Raw genomic sequence first — 17,385 nt, forward strand, 5'->3', positions numbered from 1 at the left:
CTGCAGCCTGGGTTGAAGGCCTTGACGTTTTTTAAAAATATGCAAGAAACATAGAACTTTCAAAAGGGCAAAGGCGATTTATTGTATTTTAATATTTCTATTTCACTAAAACTAGTGAAACATGTTTGAAGCTTCTTAAAGGTCACATCTGTCCATTTATTAGAGAAGATTCCCCCGTATTAGATTCAATAGACAGGGTGAAATAGAAGGTGTTCTGATTTTATAGAAACGGATTGCAAGATAGTCATAGCAGTCGCTTTTGCCGAGGAATTTGCTTAGATTTCAAACTTGGGAATATCAGAATTAAATGGGAGAGCATCTGGGAAAGTGCTGAGCCGAGGCCTGGCCAGGGCAGTGCTTGGTGCTTCCCGAAAGATGGCGCAGTGCAGGAAGGAGAGGGGCTTGCCTGGCTGGCGGTACAGGACAGGCGCCCAAGGGGCAGGCCTGTGCGTGTGGCAGGGGAGGGAGAGATGCTCCTGTGGGTTTTTTTTTAAGTTTCTTGGGGTGGGCTGAGGAGGAAGGATGTCCAGGCAGGGGCAGAGTGGGACAGAGGCAGGGAGGGCAGGGTGGTGAGCCCAGGACGGTCTCCGTGGCTTCCTATCGTGCCCAGGTTGCCAGGGATGCAGTGAGATGCGTCTGAGAGAGAACTCAGAATACGAATGTGGAATGCCAGAGTGCATCTGGTTTAATCGACATAACCTTTCAAAAACATGAGTTTCCTAGGATGTTTTGTTTAAAGCCAGAAAACATTACAGAGCCCCTGGCTGAAACTCAGTGTGTGGGGGAGGCAGGAAAAGGGTGAAGTGGGGACAGGCTCTCTGCTCTCCCCACCCGGCCCTGCTGCTTGCTCAAGGCGCAGGAAACCACAGGAATGGGCGTCTGAAGAGCCTGCAGCCTGCCAGTGGGGTTTGGAAAACCCTGGAGCCACCTTTTCCCAGAGCCCCAAGCTAATGAGAGCAGACGTCATTCCCAGGATGGCCAGGAGGCACTCCATTCGTCTCCTCCTGGGTGGATGCAGCATCGCCCTCCTGCCCACGCTTGGAGAGGAGGGTGGCTGGGGCAGGCGTCCAGGTGTCCCAGTGCAGAGCCCTGGTGTGCACCGGCTCAGGGGGCCAGCTCAGTACCAAAGGGAAATTGCACTCCAGGACTGTTGGGCTCTGGGAAGCCCACTCTCCTCTCACTGCACCACACCCTGCTGTTCAGCAGCCCCATCTCTCTCGGGGGACCCCCAAAGCAGTCGTTTAGGCTCCTGGTGGAGCCAGGGAAGGGGGCTGCAGCCACGCCCTCAAAGGGTGGGGAATCATGCTCGGGCATGGCAGGTGGGCTTATCCACGAGGCCCCTCTCCTCCAGCCTCACAGGACCCAGCGTGGTCTCCGCCACCCGCCTGGCCATGCACGCGTTCCACTGCTGTCCTGGTGAGGGAGACTCGCTTCTCCTCAGATGTTCCCCGAGACAGAGAGCTCACTCCTTCCTGGAGGGGAGCCCTTTGCTTGGGAATTCATTTTCCTCCTAAATCATTGTGGGAGCCTCTAACGAGCCCCTGCCCCTCTTGTCCGTCTCTCCCAGCATCCGAGGAATCTTCTGAAAGGGAATGTGCTCTTGTGACTCCCCAATCAAGCCTTAGGTGTCACACCGGCCTCCAAGCTGCTCATCTGTCCCGGGGCCTCTCCGTGTGCCCCCAGGGCTCCCGCCCCAGCCACGTGCTTCCTGCTCCCTGGACACAGCTGCCCTCCTGCCCTCCAGGCCTTTGCCCCTCTGTCTCCAGCCTGTGATGCCCTTGTGCCTCCGAAGGTTTCCCCAAGTTCCACTTGCCCTGTGAACCCCTCCCTGGGCTGCCCGCTGACTCAAATCTGGACTTTCCCTAAAACAAAATGTCATTTGTCCACAAAACATTGGCTGAGCCCCTCGTCCTGTGGCAGGGCCTGAAACTGGGCTCGAGGGTAAAGATGACAGGGCCCCCTCTCTTTGCTGGTACCCAGTGGGCAAGTCACTGTCACTGTGCAGGGATGATCTGCCTCCTTGGGGGTCTCTCCCTAGGCTATGAATCTGTAGGGGCCAGGCCTGCATCTATGCTGGCATCCCCAACAGAGAGGACCCAGACCAATGGGTCTGTCGGATGGGTAGATCAATGGGGAGGAGAACTGTGGAACGTTCTTCTTCATAGTCCCCTAAAATCTGTGCCTGTGACACCCTAAAGCCTACAGGCCATCAGCTCCCTTGTCCAGGAAACAATTTCTATGAATGTAGCCATAGGCATTGTGCTTCTCCAAGCACTTTCCTGAGCTAGCATTAGGACAGAGGATCCCGGCATGACAACTCCCCTGCCCCCGCTCCACCCCCGGGGGCAGACAGGGCCGTGAACCTCGGAGGGAGCACAGAGCATTGGGGGACATCTGGGGAGCCCCCAGGTTAACTCTGAATCCCCACTCCAGCCTGCGACCCCACCACCCACAAGAGTGTGTCTCCACCTGTGTGGGGGCAAGATGTCCACAGACAGAGTCCCCGTGGAAGGGGCAGGGGTTGGTGTCTGGCAGTCACCAGCTGTGTGGCTTCAGGCAAGTCACTGTGTCTCTGAGCCTCAGTGTCTCTGGAAAGTGGGGAAATAACCTGTGAGCCTGGCTGCTCTTCAGTGAGATCCTGTGTGCAGCACGCCTCACGGCACAAGGTGCCTGCCTGGATCCTGCAAGTCCCTGATGGGCAGCAGCACCCCCACCAGGGAGGGGCTTAATCCTTCTTGGCCCTGGTGGCACCACCCCTCTGTGTCATTTGGCATCACCTGACAGACCCCCACTCTAAACAGGAAGGAGAAAGGAGGAAGGGAGGGAGAGGGGAAGAGGGAGAGAAGGGGGAAGGGAGGGAGAGAGAGAAAAAAGGAGAGAGGAGGGAGGGAAGAAGAGGGAGGGAGGGAGACGGGAAGAGGGAGGGAAGGTTTTGGGACATAGCTGCTCACCCTCCATCATTTTTCATAAGGATCCTCTCTTCTTTATCCAAGGTAAAAGTGCTTCCTGGAGAATTCCTAAGAGCAGTGGGAAATGGCAGCCGACTGTGATAACCAGGAGGAAACGCCTGGGGAAGGGCTTTGCAGGGAGGGCAACGGCACATGCAGAGAGCCTGGGTGTATTCAGGGAAAGGAAGCAAGGTCAAGGTGGGCAGGGGCCCCTCCTTCGGGGCCCTGAGGCCGTGGTAGGATTTGGGCTTGACTGTAAGTGTCACGGAAGCATTGGAAAGTTCTGGTGGGGTTGAGGAGCATGGGGGTCAGGGTACCTGCTGGACACCAGGGCCAAGGGTGTGGCCTGCCGGCCCCCACCCAGGTCTGCTGGGGTTCATGTTCTTGCAGTGTGGATTCTCAGTCCATGTCCTCCCCAGGGCCTTCTGCTGGCTCCTGGAAAACCCAGCATTCAGACTCTGAGGGAGACTCCATATGGAGGGGCAGAGGGAAGACGGGCGCAGATGCTTCTCTTTCCAGCGTCCCCATGATTGTTCCCCAGCTGCCCTTGAATGTCCCCCTGGAGCCTGGGGTACCCCCAGCCCAGCCCCCTGGGCACAGTGCACATGAGGCCCCGTTAGGCTCTGCACCTGCTAGGAAGGGGTCAGCCGAGCCTCCTTCCTTATCCCGCCCCACATGGCACGAAGTTGCTGCATGCTTGTTCCTGGAAGCTCTGCACAGCTGTGCCTTCCCGGGAGGCCCAGGAGCCCAGCTCATGTGGACTTGTCCACGGTCCCCAAGGGCTCGCTGAGTCTCTGAGCACACTGAGACGGATGAGCGTGCTGGCCCTAGTGGGGTCTGCCTGGGGTGGCTGTCCTCTGTCCCCTCCTGGGCTTTCCTGTGTCCTGCTGTGGGCCACAGGCCTGGGAGACAGATGGGCAAGGGTGGGAGGGCAAAGGGGGCCACTTTCGAGGAGGGGCGGTATGGGGCGAGGGCGATGTGTTGGAGATGGCTGTGCCCTTACTGGGCATGTTGAGACATGCGCTGGCCGCCCACACATGCATGTTCACTGGAGATTTGGGGCAGGCCCCTTGTGTCCTGGTGTGACTTTGGAGCCACCACCGGCTCTGCCACCTTCCAGCTGTGAGGCCTTAGCATACCCTCCACCCCTCAGAGCCTCAGCCTCCTCATGTGTACAATGGGACCCCATCCTGGGGCTGTTTGCCAAGCGAGGCCACCCTCAGTGTCCCCTCCCGGGTGAGCCCTGTCCAGGCCACCCTCAGTATCCACTCCTGGGTAAGCCCTGTCCAGGCTACTCAGCCTTTTGTCCCTTGGGGATCTGGTGGTCGGCCATTCATTCACTTGTTCACTGATTCATTCCACACATACTCCCTGGCACCAAGGTCTGAGCTGAGCTCTGTGGGGCACAGAAGGCTCACAAGTGGCCCTGTCTTTGAGGAGCTTTGGACTGAAGAGACAATGACAGATGAGCATAGTAAGTGTTGGGCCAGGGGCTTGGAGCCCAGAGGCCACTCCCCACTCAGTCTGGCATCAGGGAGGGCTTCCTGGAGGAAATGGCACTTGAGCTGAGTCTTCATGTCAAATTGGGGTTTGCTTTGACTGAGGCTGTGTATCGTAAATATTTTTCTGTTTCTTTCTCATCTTCATGTTGCTGGCACTCTTTGTGCCTGGGTTTTCACATAGAGAGGGCTGCGTGCTGTGCTCATTTGCAGTTTCCTTGTTCAGGTCGATAGGGTAGAAGTTGCTGTCCGCCATTCAGTCATCCAGGGTGCGCTGAGTCCGCGTGGGCTGGGAAAGCTCGGGGATGGCCCGGGACATGCAGGGAACCCTCAGACCGGCCTTGGCCTCTGCCAACAACCCCCGGCTGCACATTGACAACCCTCCTCCCAGGAGCCGCTCAGCCTGGAACAACCTCCGACCTTCTCAGGCCCTGCCCTCAGCCACACCACTCTCCTCTGCAGGTGTTTGAGGAAGAGCATCACATCCTGTACCTGGACCACGGCGGCGTGATCGTGGCCATCAAAGACACCTCCATCCCTTTGAAGATCCTCAAGTAATGGCGTCTGCTAGCCCCGGGGCAGGGAGGGCAGGCTGGGGCTCTTTCTTTCCACCTGGGAACCCTCTCAGACTAGTCCCCAGAATGTCCTCCCCTCGGGGACACATGATCACAGAGCAACTGCACTAAATCCTAAAGACCGGGGCTGGGACACACCTCACAAACCTTTCCTGAGGGGTCGTGGAGATGGACTTCGTCTTGCCATCGGGAGACAGGCACAGAGGGAGGCCCCACCCCAGCCTGGGGAGCAGGGAGGGCCTTCCCCGAGGAGGTGAGGAATTAGTAAAGTGCAGGGATTGGGACCAGGTGACCCAGACAAGGAAGCCAGCAGCATATGCCCAGGTGAGAGGGTTGGCAGCTGAAGGCCGTCGTGGGGAAGGGAGGGCAGGCGTGAACTCGGGACCCAGAAGGCACAGCCGGAGCAGCTGCCAGGAAGCCAGTATCACTGTAGTCTGAAAAAGAGATTACTCAACTGCCAGATGGTGGCACTACAATACCGGCCCTACCACGGGCCTGGCAACGCCTAGGCCAAGCTCAGGCCATGGGTGTGGCCATTCAGGGGAGGCAAAGTGTCTGTGTGGTTCCCAGAAAACACCCCCAGGGCAGTACAATGCAGATAAGCAGATGTAACATAAGCAGATGTGATATGAGCAGATGTGACATAAGCAGATGTGGTATCACCTGCACTGGCAAGGTTGGCTAGTGCAGCCTCCGCCCCTCCAGCTGGACCCGCCGGGCAGAGTCCCAGACACAGGGAGCTTTCCAGCCCACCCCAGAGATGCTGACGATCTTCTCCTGGCAGGTTCAGTGTGGACGAGGGCCTCACCTGGAGCACGCACAACTTCACCAGCACCTCGGTGTTTGTGGACGGGCTGCTGAGTGAGCCAGGGGACGAGACGCTGGTCATGACGTGAGTGCGGGGACCGGGGAGTGGGCACTGGTGGCAGGGCAGAGCCATGCTGGGCCTCCCTGGGCCTACTGTGTCCTTCACCCCCCAGCCACCTGGGAATCAGGGACATCTGCCACCTGCCCCAGGTCCCCTTGCTGGTGAGGACAGGACCGAGGCTCCAGGCCGGCTCCACCATGGCCACGGCACCTCTTGAGCCGGTGATTATATCATGAGTATTGCTATCTACTGGCACCTTTCTCAGCCATATGGCATGAAGGTCATATGGCTTAGGGCCTGACACCCAGACAGATCATCATAGGGCAGAGCTGGCTGTGACCCTCTCGTCACCCATCCCGGGGTCTGAGGCTGCAGCACTGGCCCTGCCCGGCTTCCTTCTGCTCAGCCCCAGCTTGGGCCAAAAAAGGCACCATGAGGGGCAAAGGGGCCTCAGGAGCCTCTGTCGTTCAGAGCCTCTCTGGCCCAGGAGCAGAGACGCTTAGGACAGTGGGGACATGCGGCGTTCGACTGCACCGCTGCGGCCGCAATGGGAGACAGCCGTGCCCAGAAACCAGTGAAGTGAAGGTTCCTCTGGGTGCCCTCGAACATGGGCCCCTGTGAGCCCAGCTGATTCACAGGCTGGGCGAGGCCTGTGTGTCTAACGGCTCCTGCGACCCCGCGCTGTGGCACGGTGAGGCCACCGTGTCCTCTTCCTGCCTTTCACGGTGATGCCTGAGATATCTGAATAGTGTGTCCCAAATTCCTGTTTCCCGGAACCATGAATGGGACCTTATTTGGAAATGGGGTTATTGTCAATGTAATTAAGCCAAGATGAGGCCATGGAGTAGGGCGGACCCTGATCCAATGACTGTGTCCTTACAAGAGGACACAGAGACACAGGCCTTGGGGGAGGAGGCCGGGGAGGGAGGAGGCATGGAGTGGAGCTGTGCAGCTGCAAGCCCAGGAACACCCAGGGCCCCCAGGAGCTGGAAGGGGCAGGAAGCCTCCGCCTCTAGAGCCTCTAGAGGGAGCTCAGCCCTGCCGACCCCTGGATTTCAGCCTTCTGGCCTCCAGAGCGCTGAGAGAGCATGTGAGCAATGCTTCAGGGTGGGAGAGCATGTGTGTGATGACTGAAGCCAGCAGAGTTCATGGTAATTTGCCACAGTAGCCCCACGAGGCTGCCGCGACAGCCCACAGCTCTTCCACCTCAAGGCCTAGGCACAGGGAGATTGGACACCTGGACTTTGAACACCTTGTCCTCTGCTCTGTCCCTTCTAGAGCAGGCAGGACCTGCCCTACCCATTTCCCACAGAAGAGCTGGGCACTGTGCCCCTCACCCTCGCCCACTCGGCTGGAGTGGCCATGTGCTCTGTGGCAGGTGTGGATCTATGGACTGGGACTACACTCTGGCTGGGTTCAGCAGGAAGTGCTGGCCTGGCTCATTCACCAGTTCACACCCTGAGTTTTCCCTTCCAGCTGGCAATGGGCCTTCACACCCTCGACCCTGAGTGGCTCTTCCACTGGCCCCTGAATGCCCCAGAGGGGCCCACGTGGATAAGCCGCCCAAGAGTGCCTGACCCCAGCCTCTATCTCCCTCCATGTGCCCCACCCTCCCCAGCAGGCGCACAGCTCCCAGGAGGCCACGGGAGGACAGCTCCAGGCTGTGGGGAGCAGGCCTGGTTTTGGAAAGAAACTGCCCAGCTGGGACAATGCTGCCCATCCTGCCCAGGCTGGCCTCTGCCTGGACAGGGATGAGGCTGGGCTCTGTCTGGGCAGGGATGAGGCTGGGCTCCGCCTGGGCAGGGATGAGGCTGGGCTCTGCCTGGACAGAGATGAGGCTGGGCTCTGTCTGGGCAGGGATGAGGCTGGGCTCCGCCTGGACAGAGAAGAGGCTGGGCTCCGTCTGGGCAGGGATGAGGCTGGGCTCCGTCTGGGCAGGGATGAGGCTGGGCTCCGTCTGGGCAGGGATGAGGCTGCGCTCCGCCTGGGCAGGGATGAGGCTGGGCTCCGCCTGGGCAGGGATGAGGCTGGGCTCCGTCTGGGCAGGGATGAGGCTGGGCTCCGTCTGGGCAGGGATGAGGCTGGGCTCCGTCTGGGCAGGGATGAGGCTGGGCTCTGTCTGGGCAGGGATGAGGCTGGGCTCTGCCTGGACAGAGATGAGGCTGGGCTCTGTCTGGGCAGGGATGAGGCTGGGCAGGGATGAGGCTGGGCTCTGCCTGGACAGAGATGAGGCTGGGCTCCGCCTGGGCAGGGATGAGGCTGGGCTCTGTCTGGGCAGGGATGAGGCTGGGCTCTGCCTGGACAGACATGAGGCTGGGCTCTGTCTGGGCAGGGATGAGGCTGGGCAGGGATGAGGCTGGCCTCTGCCTGGACAGGGATGAGGCTGGGCTCTGCCTGGGCAGGGATGAGGCTGGGCTCCTCCTGGGCAGGGATGAGGCTGGGCTCTGCCTGGACAGAGATGAGGCTGGGCTCTGCCTGGGCAGGGATGAGGCTGGGCTCTGCCTGGACAGAGATGAGGCTGGGCTCTGTCTGGGCAGGGATGAGGCTGGGCTCTGTCTGGGCAGGGATGAGGCTGGACTCTGCAGGGCTAGAGTATGTCCCCTCGTTTGTTGGGGAGGTTGGGCAGACGCAACCCCTGAGCTCCCCTGGCTGCTGTGGCTGGGAGACACCACCACTGACCCCTGCTGCTTTCCTGCTCACCACCCGTCACCCCCACCCACCCTCAACCAGCTCTGCTGCTTGACAATTAAAGAAACTGAGGCTCTGAGAGGGGAGGTACCTTGAGCAAAACCTGTGGCCAAGTCCAGCCCATGTGGGCACTCCAGGGCAGCTCTGTGGGCAGCAGCCTGTCCTCTCCGGGCCGAGCAGAGGTGGGACCCCCTATGAGGATGCTCTTCTGCTCTGCCATCATCCAATGCACGTTTATTGAGCACCTATTATGTGCCAGGTGCTGTTTGAGGTGCCAGGAGTGTTGGCAACACAGCACACTCAGCCCTGGCTTTAGGGACCTCTGATCATGGAGAACGGGAACTTGTCCTCACACTCAGAGGACACCTAGTCTGCCTCCCAGCTCCTGGCCAAGGAGGATGGAAGCTGGACGTCGGATTTAGCAACAAGAAGCCATCAGTTCCAGCTGAGCCAGGGTGGGAAACCAGGTTTCGGGAAACTGAGATTGCGTGGGGCACAAGGACAGGGAAGAAGTGGTGAGTGTGGACCCCTCTCAGGGTATTTAAGATGAGCGGGTCAGCAACAGCGCGAATTCCTGCCGCCTTCAATTCAGTCCCAGCCCAGAAGGGCCTTCCCTGCCACCAGGCCTGGGCTGCCTGGCCCTCACCCCTTCGAGGATCTGATCCCATCTGCAGGGTTGCCCTTGCTGGTGGCTGTGCCCTGCCCCAGGCTCCAGGAGGGACTGGTTCTGCTGGCTTCACTGGTGCGTCCCCAGGCCACGCACAGCACCAGGCATGGAAGAGGCGCTTGATGCTCAGTGAATGTGGCTTGAATAAATGGGTGGTGATGCACCTGTGAGGATGACACAGGGGTGGAGACAGACGCTCATGGGGATGAGCTTGTGCAAGCACCGCCTGCAGGGGCCTGGCTGGGGAGAGGTGAGCTGGGCCCATCACCCCCAGGACCAGGGCCCAGCCAGCACAGCTCACACAGCTCCGCCCCCGTCTCCAAATCAGGATGCTTCTCGCCAGGCTGGTGTCCCTGGACAGTGGACTGCACACGCTGCACCTTGGTTTCCACAGCCCCGAAACTGGGAAATGAGTCGGCTTGAGGAGCTGTCAGGAGGATTCCGGGAAGCAGAACGTCTGTGCCCAGGAAATGACATTTCCCTTCCAGAGACCTGGGCTTCCTTGTCTGTAGCATGGGGACTTAAACTCCACGAGGTCGCCGCAAATGAGCCCTCAACTGATGCTCACCTGTGATGCTTGGGGCCTTCTTGCTTCCTGGGTGATGAGCAAGAAATCACCTGCTTAGACTCTGATTCTAGTATAGAGGCCTGGCTTCCGCCCACTCCACAGCAGACAGACAGGTCCCGGCTGGCCTTCCCAGGCCATGCATTGTGGTGGGATTGAGGGGATGCTTGGGACAGCTCTGCTTCCCAGCTGGGGTCCCGGGTGGGTGGGAGCGTTATTCCCAAGAAGGCGAGGGCCCCCTTCACTGGTCTCACTGAACATCCAGTACCCGCCACGGGTGGGTCCCGCTGGCCGGCCGACCTTTGATCCTGTATCCGTGTGTTCTCGATGGCATGCGATGGTGCTTCTGGGTGGTCTTGTCCTTCAGCGCCCCGGGAGAACAGTGAGCCCCTTCCCCTCCCACAGTCTGGGGGGCGTCTTCCCCTTCCTGGACCCTCTGCCCCAAGTCCTCCCTCCGTCTTTACCAATATGGCCTCCTGCGACAGGGGCTGCAACGCAGCTTTAGTGAGCGCCCCACTGCATACTACGGGCTGTTTTCATACGTGACTTCAGGCCATTCTCATAAGAAATGTAGACAGATTGATTTATTCCTCCGTTTTTAGAGGTGCCAACACGTCTCAAAGAATTCATCCCTGAGGGAGTGGTGGGAGGATGGGGACCCTGGGAGCCTGTCCTGTAAAAATTGGGTGGGGATAATCACCCTTCCTGTTCTTTAAGGGTCCTGATGTTTGCCGTTTTCCCTGAACAGTTAATTCCTGCTCTGGCCAGGCCCTGGATGCATAAAATCCTTCATGACTTTTGCCCAGTCTCGTGCCCCCGGAGGCCGTGGTCTGGGACAGAATGGGATGGTCCTGCCTTTTCCTGCAGCTGCAGGACCTCCTGTGGCCTTTACGGGGATGGGGAGTGAGGGAGGAAGGGAGTCCCGCCACCAGGCACTCTGCCTGCACTCTGTTTGTGTTGTGGGCCTTTCATGTGGTCAAGCCGTTCCTGAGGCCAGAACCCGCAGAGCCGCGGGGGGCCAGCAGTGCAGGGGTGAGGGCGGCCCTTACTCCTCACACAGAGGTTGACAGCCTTCTCCGGGCCTCAGCTTACCTGGCCAAGAGATGGGAGTGCTGTCCATCCGGGAGCCGTGAATGAGCCTGTCTCTGCAGGGTGCCAAGCCCTTCGCCCCGGCTGTCATGAGGTCTGAGCCTTGGTTAGGCCCCAGAGATGACCCAGCCTTCATCCCCCACCCACAGGTGAGGCATTTTATCCCAGAAGGATAATGGCCGAATTCACAGCCAGGTGCTATAACCTTTTAAGTTATTTTTCAAGCAACAGAACAGTTCCTCCAGACCCCCTGGTTCACAGTGCTGCATCTTCAGACAGCTTCCCAGTCCCAGTGACATACAAATAACTCAAACTGCAGGAGAGGGAACACGCTGGCAGGTCAGACTCAAAGTCCCTCTGCAGGGGTCTGTACGGGAGCTGCCCTGCCGGAGAGTTCCCACAGCCACAGGCTCAGCTTTCGGCCACTCTGTCCTTCCCGGATAACTGTTTGGTACAAATCTGCCCAAAGGCCACCTCTAACCTGGCCAGAGGCAACTTTTGGGACACTTTCCTGGCACCAGTCACTTTCACCTGCCTCTCTTTCCCCACAGTGCAGCCTCAGAGCAGGGAGGGGTCCCCAGGCCCTGGGCTTGGGCGAGAGGTGGAGTGGAGGCTCCCAGAGCCTTCCCTGGCTACATGGTTCACCCCTCGCAGCGTGGCCCATTTTTTCCTCGTTACCTGCAAAGTAATATCTAGACCCCTTCGGCACCTCTTTCCTAAGACCCAGAATTAACTAGATGGCAGCTCTTTCTCATGGTATCAGCTGAGGGTTGAGGTTTCATAAAAGGCAGGGCTTCAGGGACATGCAGGGGGTTAATTAGTCAACCAAACCAGCCTCTCTGCTCTGCCCCAGCTCAGAACAGCGGTGAGACTGAGGCCTCCTGGGGGTCTCTGCGACCAATGGAGCCCCAGTGTCATGTTTCTGTACCCGCCATGTTTCTGCGCAAAGCCTCACAGCTCCAGAGCCACCAGCCCGGGTTCCAACGCCGCCCCTCCAGGAGGTGGCCTGAAGCTGTGCTGCCCTGGCCGGGTCCCTTGCCTCAGCCTCAGTTTCCTTGTCTGTAAAAGGGGGCTTGGCAAGGAGGAAATGGGGGAATACAAGGTCACGCCTGGGCCCGGCCTGCAGTGGGTGCTCCGTATGCACCAGTGGCTGTTGCTGCTGCTATACCTTCCATAATGCCACAGGCCACAGGAGAGTGTGAGGATGCTCTCAGGGATCCAGAAGTTTCCCCTAAAAAATCATTTCTTAAGTGAGAGAAGACCCTCAGATGCTGTTTAAGAGACCAATGCCCCAGGCATTGTTTGGACAGCGATGTTGAAGGAAGATCCCAGTGTGTTGAGTTGGGGCTCTCCAATGTTGAGGCCGTCCAAGTGGGGTCCATCTGGAGACAGATGGCACCCTCATCCCAATCACGGGTGCCCTGGAGCCAAGACCACTCACAGCCGGGGCCACCGTGCAGGCCCACAAGATTCCTCTGTTGGAAACAGTGTCTGCAGAAGCGGACGGACGCGGCAGAGTCACAGCCGTACCTGGGGGCCTTCCCCTGTCCTTGGTGGGTGTTGCCACTAGCAGCTAGGAGGGCTCCCAGGCCGAGGGCTCAAGCCCCATTTCCCCACTCCTCTGAGAAAGAATGGTCTGGGGCTCCTGAACCCCACGCACAGAGAAGAAAGCAGATGGGACTGTGAGCCCAGAACCAGGGGCCTGGCTGGAATGAGGCCTGGCAGCGACGTGGCAGGAATGCGGGATGGAACCAGCCTGGCTGCTCCCTCGACGAGCTGGCCTTAGGGAGCACAGGGAGGCAGGGTCCCTGGGGGGAAGGTCCAGCTAAGACAGAGGGAGGCCCCATGCTCAGCTTGCAGAGGCTTAGGGTTTCATCAAACAAAGACAATAGTGTCTGCCTCTTGGGACTGTTCTGGAGAGTGGAGGCAAATGCGAGGTCACAGATGTAATTCAAGCATGGACCGCCGCAGGCTTGCCTGGCTGAGAGGTGCCCCGTGGAGCCAAATCTTCAAATATCAGCCTCAGATGCTCAGACCCAGCTGTCATGTCTCAGAAATACCCTACAAAACCTCTTTCAACACCTCCCTAGAATGGGGTTGTCCTTTCAGCTCATCATGGGCCACCCCAAGTATCCATCCCCAGTTGGGGGTGCTCAGACAGGGACCAGACTGGAGCAGCGTGCATCACCTCCCCGACCCAGATGCTTGGCCTCTGGTAATATGGCCGGAGCACCACAAGCTGGACTGGAGAAGGCCCAGGGAAGAGCAGGCTGGGCCCACCTTCTGGGTGGTCTTTGGAGCCTAAGTGTGTGGTACTGAGGGATGGAGTGGAAGGCACTCAGGCAGCAGCCCTCCCAGAGAGGGAGAAAGCGAGGCACCTGAGTGCCATTCTGAGTGATGGGCACACAGCAATGACTGCTGACTGCAAGGAGGGAGAAGGAACAGCACAAACAAGCTGTGTGACCTTGGGCAAGTTACTCAACCTCTCTGTGCCTCGGCTTTCCATTCTGTAAAACGGGCGGACCCGGCCTACCAGGCTGTGCATGCATAGCTTCCAGCACCCATGGATGCCGCAGGGTGCCTCCCCACCTCCAAGAAGTCTTCAGGGAATCCCCAGCACCTTTAGATGTCCAGGCCTCCTGTGGGCTTTTCTAGACCCTTCTCGGTCATGGAGCTACCTGGGCTGAGGGTCCTCAGCCACACTCAGGGAGTGTGGGGCCACAGGCTCTACCCCAGCCCATGGAGTCCAGTGTGCTTGGGGTTCAGGATGTTCAGATCTTAGGAAGGTAACACAGGCCTGTACCATACATGACACCCTAAGTGGCCAGCCTCCCTATTCTGTCTTCCGCCTCTTCCCCCACCCACCTAGGCTGCGACGGGCCAACCTTGCTCATCCTGTGGGCTCTGCGCTGAGCCTGCTGACTTGTTATTTCTCTTTGAATCGCCACCTCTACTAGGGAGCAAATGCCCTGTGGCCCAGCGATAGAAAGCTGGGTTTCTGCAGCACGGAACCCTCACACGGTCAGGCTGGGAGAAAGCCAGGGAGAAGCCAGACAGCTGCAGATGCAGCCACCTGACCACAGATCATTCCGCAAAACAATGCAAGGACCACTGTGGGGGCCGTGGAAGGGCTCCCAACTCTGCTGTGGATCTGGGCCTCCTTCCCTGTCCATCAAGCGGGGCCACTGGGGGCCAACCAGAGCGACTCACGCAGTGCAATTGACAAGTCATAGATCACAGGTGGTAGTTGTGGGAATATTCACGCCGAAGCCTACAGAGCACGTGTGCAGGGCCAGGCTCGGTGACCGGGGCAGCCTCGCTCTGATCTCCAGCAAGGGCAGGAGAAGGATATCTGTGCCCATGGTACAGGTAGGAACAGAGTCCAGAGGGGACATGATTTGCACAGTAGGACAAGGCCTAATGAAGGTGGTTTTCTCTCCCTTCCCTCCTCTTCCCACCCCAGGGTCTTTGGCCACATCAGCTTCCGCTCCGATTGGGAGCTGGTCAAGGTGGACTTCCGGCCCTCATTCTCCAGGCAGTGCGGCGAGGAGGACTACAGCTCCTGGGAGCTCTCCAACCTGCAGGTGGGCCGGCATGAGGCTGGGATCGGGCAGGTGGGGTACAGACTGCAAACACAGGCCCACTCTGCCTGCCAAAGTCCTCCCCTGCAAGGCCGCAGGGCACCTCCCCGCCTCCAAGAAGTCTTCAGGGAATCCCCAGCGCCTTGAGATGTCCAGGCCTCCTGTGGGCTTTTCCAGACCCTTCTCGGTCATGGAGCTACCTGGGCTGAGGGTCCTCAGCCACACTCGGGGAGTGTGGGGCTACAGGGGCTACAGTCTCTACTCCAGCCCATGGAGTCCAGTATGCTTGGGGTTCAGGATGTTCAGATCTTAGGAAGGTAACACAGGCCTGTACCATACATGACATTGGGGTCTGGGTGTGGAGTGGGGTCTGGGGCAAGCCCACACTGTAATTGAGACACATAACTGTTTCTACAGCAAATGTGTAATATGGACACTAAGAGGAGTATAAAGACCATCAGTGGCCCATCTGTAGTTCCAATCAGGCTGTGCTGCTGGCAGTGTGGTGGGGAAGCCTGGGATTTCAGAGTGTGGGGGCCTGGAACTGCTCGGGGGTGGGTGGCCCTGTTGAAGAAATGATTTAATGGTACTTGTTAAAGCGCGGGGTGGAAGACTTTACTCAAGACCATCACGGTGGGTACAGGGACCCTCTCAAAGGAGAGATTGGGCTCAACTTGAATTCAGCATGGGCAAATGGGAGTTCAAAGCCAAGGTCAGTGGGTGGAAACTGACTAAGAGGAAACACCAGGCATCAGAGAATTTGACATCACCTGGGGGGCAGTGGGGGATGAGGAAGCCTATCGGATAGGGAGGGCGATCGGATATCAAGGGTGGGCGGTGCCTGCCAAACTGCCTTAGCAGGGTGCATTGCTTAAGCTGGATTTCACAAGGAAGTGCTCAGATGGGCCTAGGAGGAGGTTTAGGAGCTTGAATACAGGCCACCGGGCATCCTCACTGGCCCCACCCCTGTCACTGCCACAGCAGCTGTTGCAGGGAGATGGGGGTAGGCCTGTCTTGTCCTGATTGTCCCCTGAGGACCCACTGTGTGCCTGTGAGCCCTCGAGGGCGTGGCTCAGCCCAGCTCCCACACAGCAGCTGAGGGGACGAGGGGAACCTCAAAAGGGCTGCACTTCCAGCAGCTCTGCGACCCCTCGGGCCCAGCCAGGGCTGCACACAGGAGGGGCTCAGTGAATGCCCATGGGTTGGGATGAGAGGGAGGCTTCCCCAACTTGACTGCAGACATGTCACGCCCCATTATGGGCCTCAGTTTCCCCATCTGTAACCTGAGCCATCAGCCATCTTCAGGCTCTGGCAGCCTCAGCGGCACAAGGCCTTGTAGAGCAGTTGCCCTGTCTCAGGCAGCTCCTTACCCTGATGTTCCTGCTGCAGGGCGACCGCTGTATCATGGGCCAGCAGAGAAGTTTCCGGAAAAGAAAGTCCACGTCCTGGTGCATCAAGGGGAGGAGCTTCACGTCGGCGCTCACGTCCCGCGTGTGCGAGTGCCGGGACTCGGACTTCCTGTGGTGAGCGACGGGCTCCTGGCCACGAGGCCTCAGGCGCTGCTTGAGCATCCTCACAGCATGGCGGCCACTTCCCTCAGAGTGAGGGAGGAAGCCTCAGCGCCTTTTATAACCTGGTGTCACAGTCGCACACTGCCACTTCTGCCTCATTCCATCTGTTAGAACCAAGTCACCAAGACCAGCCCACACTCCAGGAAGGAGCTTTAAGGAATTTGTGGGTGCATTTTTAAACCTTCTCAGTGGCTGCTCACAGGCAGGAGGAGAAAGTGAGGAACAGGTCAGGGCATCTTGGGGACGTGCTGCACCCACCCCAGCCCTTCTCCATCCAGGGACTCTGCTGAAAGCCACCCGACCTGTCCCCTGCTATTCTCAAAAGCTGCCTGTGACTGCCCAGTGCCCACAGGACAATTTGGCTAACAGCTCACCCACCTGCCACCTCACCCCTCCTCATCATGCCCCCTGGCATTGCAGCCTCCTCCACCTGTACTGGTGCTGCTCAGGCTGGGCCCTGCCAGCAGTGCCTCTCCCTCTCTTTCCCTACCTGTCTCTGTCCATCCTTTGAGATTTGCTCACCTCCTCCAGGCAGCCCTCCAGGTTTCTCTGAGTTCACAGCATCCCTTTGCCTCCCTTGTTACCCTGTGTGCCCATCTGGGATGGGGCTGTGGGTGTTCCTTGATGTCCTCACAGATGGGTGCATAGCAGGCCCTTGACATGAGGTTCCCTTCTCAGCTCCCCCAGATTTCACCCCAACCCTGGGTGACTCCGGTTCCCACCTGTGCCCGTCACTTACCACTACTCTTCCCTCCTCCCAGCGACTACGGATTTGAGCGCTCCTCCTCCTCAGAGTCCAGCACCAACAAGTGCTCTGCCAACTTCTGGTTTAACCCATTGTCCCCGCCTGACGACTGTGCCCTGGGCCAGACCTACACCAGCAGCCTTGGGTGAGTGTGGGTGCGGGCCTCTCCCTGCCTAAATCCGGGGGCAGAGCTGTGGTGCAGCCCCGAAACCACGCCTTCCTGGCTGGTGCCTGCAGCTCCCAACTCCCAAGTGGAGTCGGGGAAAGAGAGGTCAAAGTTGAGGATGCCCCACGCTCACAGCACAGAGCCTGGCTGCGGTGCTCATATGAGTCACCAGACATCATGAGTGAATGACCTTAGCTCCCAGGCCAAAGGAACCCACAGGGTTCTCCCATCTGAGCCCACATGGGCCAGTGCCAGGAGAAAGCTGCCTTGAGTTGGCTCTGGACAGAGAACAATAGACAGAAAAGGTCCAAGGTGCCCATGGCTCACACCTGCTGCAGCACGTCTTCCCCTGGTCTTTCTGAGCCTCTGCAGTGCTAGGACCCTTCTCCATTTACCGGTGCCCAGTAAGCCAGGCTCTCCCCA

The 17,385-nt window shown here is 58.8% G+C and overlaps 1 protein-coding gene across 9 annotated transcripts in view, besides 6 other annotated features; it reads left to right on the plus strand.

Moving 5' to 3' along the window:
- Nucleotides 1–17,385, plus strand: part of SORCS2 (sortilin related VPS10 domain containing receptor 2) — a 550,290-nt gene that overhangs the window by 505,833 nt on the left and 27,072 nt on the right. For all 9 annotated transcript variants that reach the window (XM_005247987.5, XM_011513515.3, XM_011513516.3 and 6 more), the window contains 5 exons: nt 4,910–5,001; nt 5,807–5,914; nt 14,363–14,483; nt 15,870–16,003; nt 16,813–16,941. In XM_005247987.5, coding sequence (XP_005248044.2) covers nt 4,910–5,001; nt 5,807–5,914; nt 14,363–14,483; nt 15,870–16,003; nt 16,813–16,941 — 584 coding nt within the window. The remainder of the gene's footprint in view (nt 1–4,909; nt 5,002–5,806; nt 5,915–14,362; nt 14,484–15,869; nt 16,004–16,812; nt 16,942–17,385) is intronic.
- Nucleotides 3,362–4,030: an enhancer, noted in NCBI's record as "H3K27ac-H3K4me1 hESC enhancer chr4:7703459-7704127 (GRCh37/hg19 assembly coordinates)". NCBI's record gives its function as "activates a minimal SCP1, AML or CMV promoter by ChIP-STARR-seq in naive H9 embryonic stem cells {active_cell/tissue: H9 hESC(naive)}" and the evidence as "EXISTENCE:reporter gene assay evidence [ECO:0000049][PMID:30033119]".
- Nucleotides 6,870–7,741: an enhancer, noted in NCBI's record as "H3K4me1 hESC enhancer chr4:7706967-7707838 (GRCh37/hg19 assembly coordinates)". NCBI's record gives its function as "activates a minimal SCP1, AML or CMV promoter by ChIP-STARR-seq in naive H9 embryonic stem cells {active_cell/tissue: H9 hESC(naive)}" and the evidence as "EXISTENCE:reporter gene assay evidence [ECO:0000049][PMID:30033119]".
- Nucleotides 10,317–10,834: an enhancer, noted in NCBI's record as "H3K4me1 hESC enhancer chr4:7710414-7710931 (GRCh37/hg19 assembly coordinates)". NCBI's record gives its function as "activates a minimal SCP1, AML or CMV promoter by ChIP-STARR-seq in primed H9 embryonic stem cells {active_cell/tissue: H9 hESC(primed)}" and the evidence as "EXISTENCE:reporter gene assay evidence [ECO:0000049][PMID:30033119]".
- Nucleotides 10,835–11,351: an enhancer, noted in NCBI's record as "H3K4me1 hESC enhancer chr4:7710932-7711448 (GRCh37/hg19 assembly coordinates)". NCBI's record gives its function as "activates a minimal SCP1, AML or CMV promoter by ChIP-STARR-seq in primed H9 embryonic stem cells {active_cell/tissue: H9 hESC(primed)}" and the evidence as "EXISTENCE:reporter gene assay evidence [ECO:0000049][PMID:30033119]".
- Nucleotides 12,616–13,116: an enhancer, noted in NCBI's record as "H3K4me1 hESC enhancer chr4:7712713-7713213 (GRCh37/hg19 assembly coordinates)". NCBI's record gives its function as "activates a minimal SCP1, AML or CMV promoter by ChIP-STARR-seq in naive H9 embryonic stem cells {active_cell/tissue: H9 hESC(naive)}" and the evidence as "EXISTENCE:reporter gene assay evidence [ECO:0000049][PMID:30033119]".
- Nucleotides 15,756–16,485: an enhancer, noted in NCBI's record as "H3K4me1 hESC enhancer chr4:7715853-7716582 (GRCh37/hg19 assembly coordinates)". NCBI's record gives its function as "activates a minimal SCP1, AML or CMV promoter by ChIP-STARR-seq in naive H9 embryonic stem cells {active_cell/tissue: H9 hESC(naive)}" and the evidence as "EXISTENCE:reporter gene assay evidence [ECO:0000049][PMID:30033119]".

Source organism: Homo sapiens, chromosome 4 (genome assembly GCF_000001405.40).
Source record: "Homo sapiens chromosome 4, GRCh38.p14 Primary Assembly".
In the NCBI taxonomy this organism is placed as follows: Eukaryota; Metazoa; Chordata; class Mammalia; order Primates; family Hominidae; genus Homo; species Homo sapiens.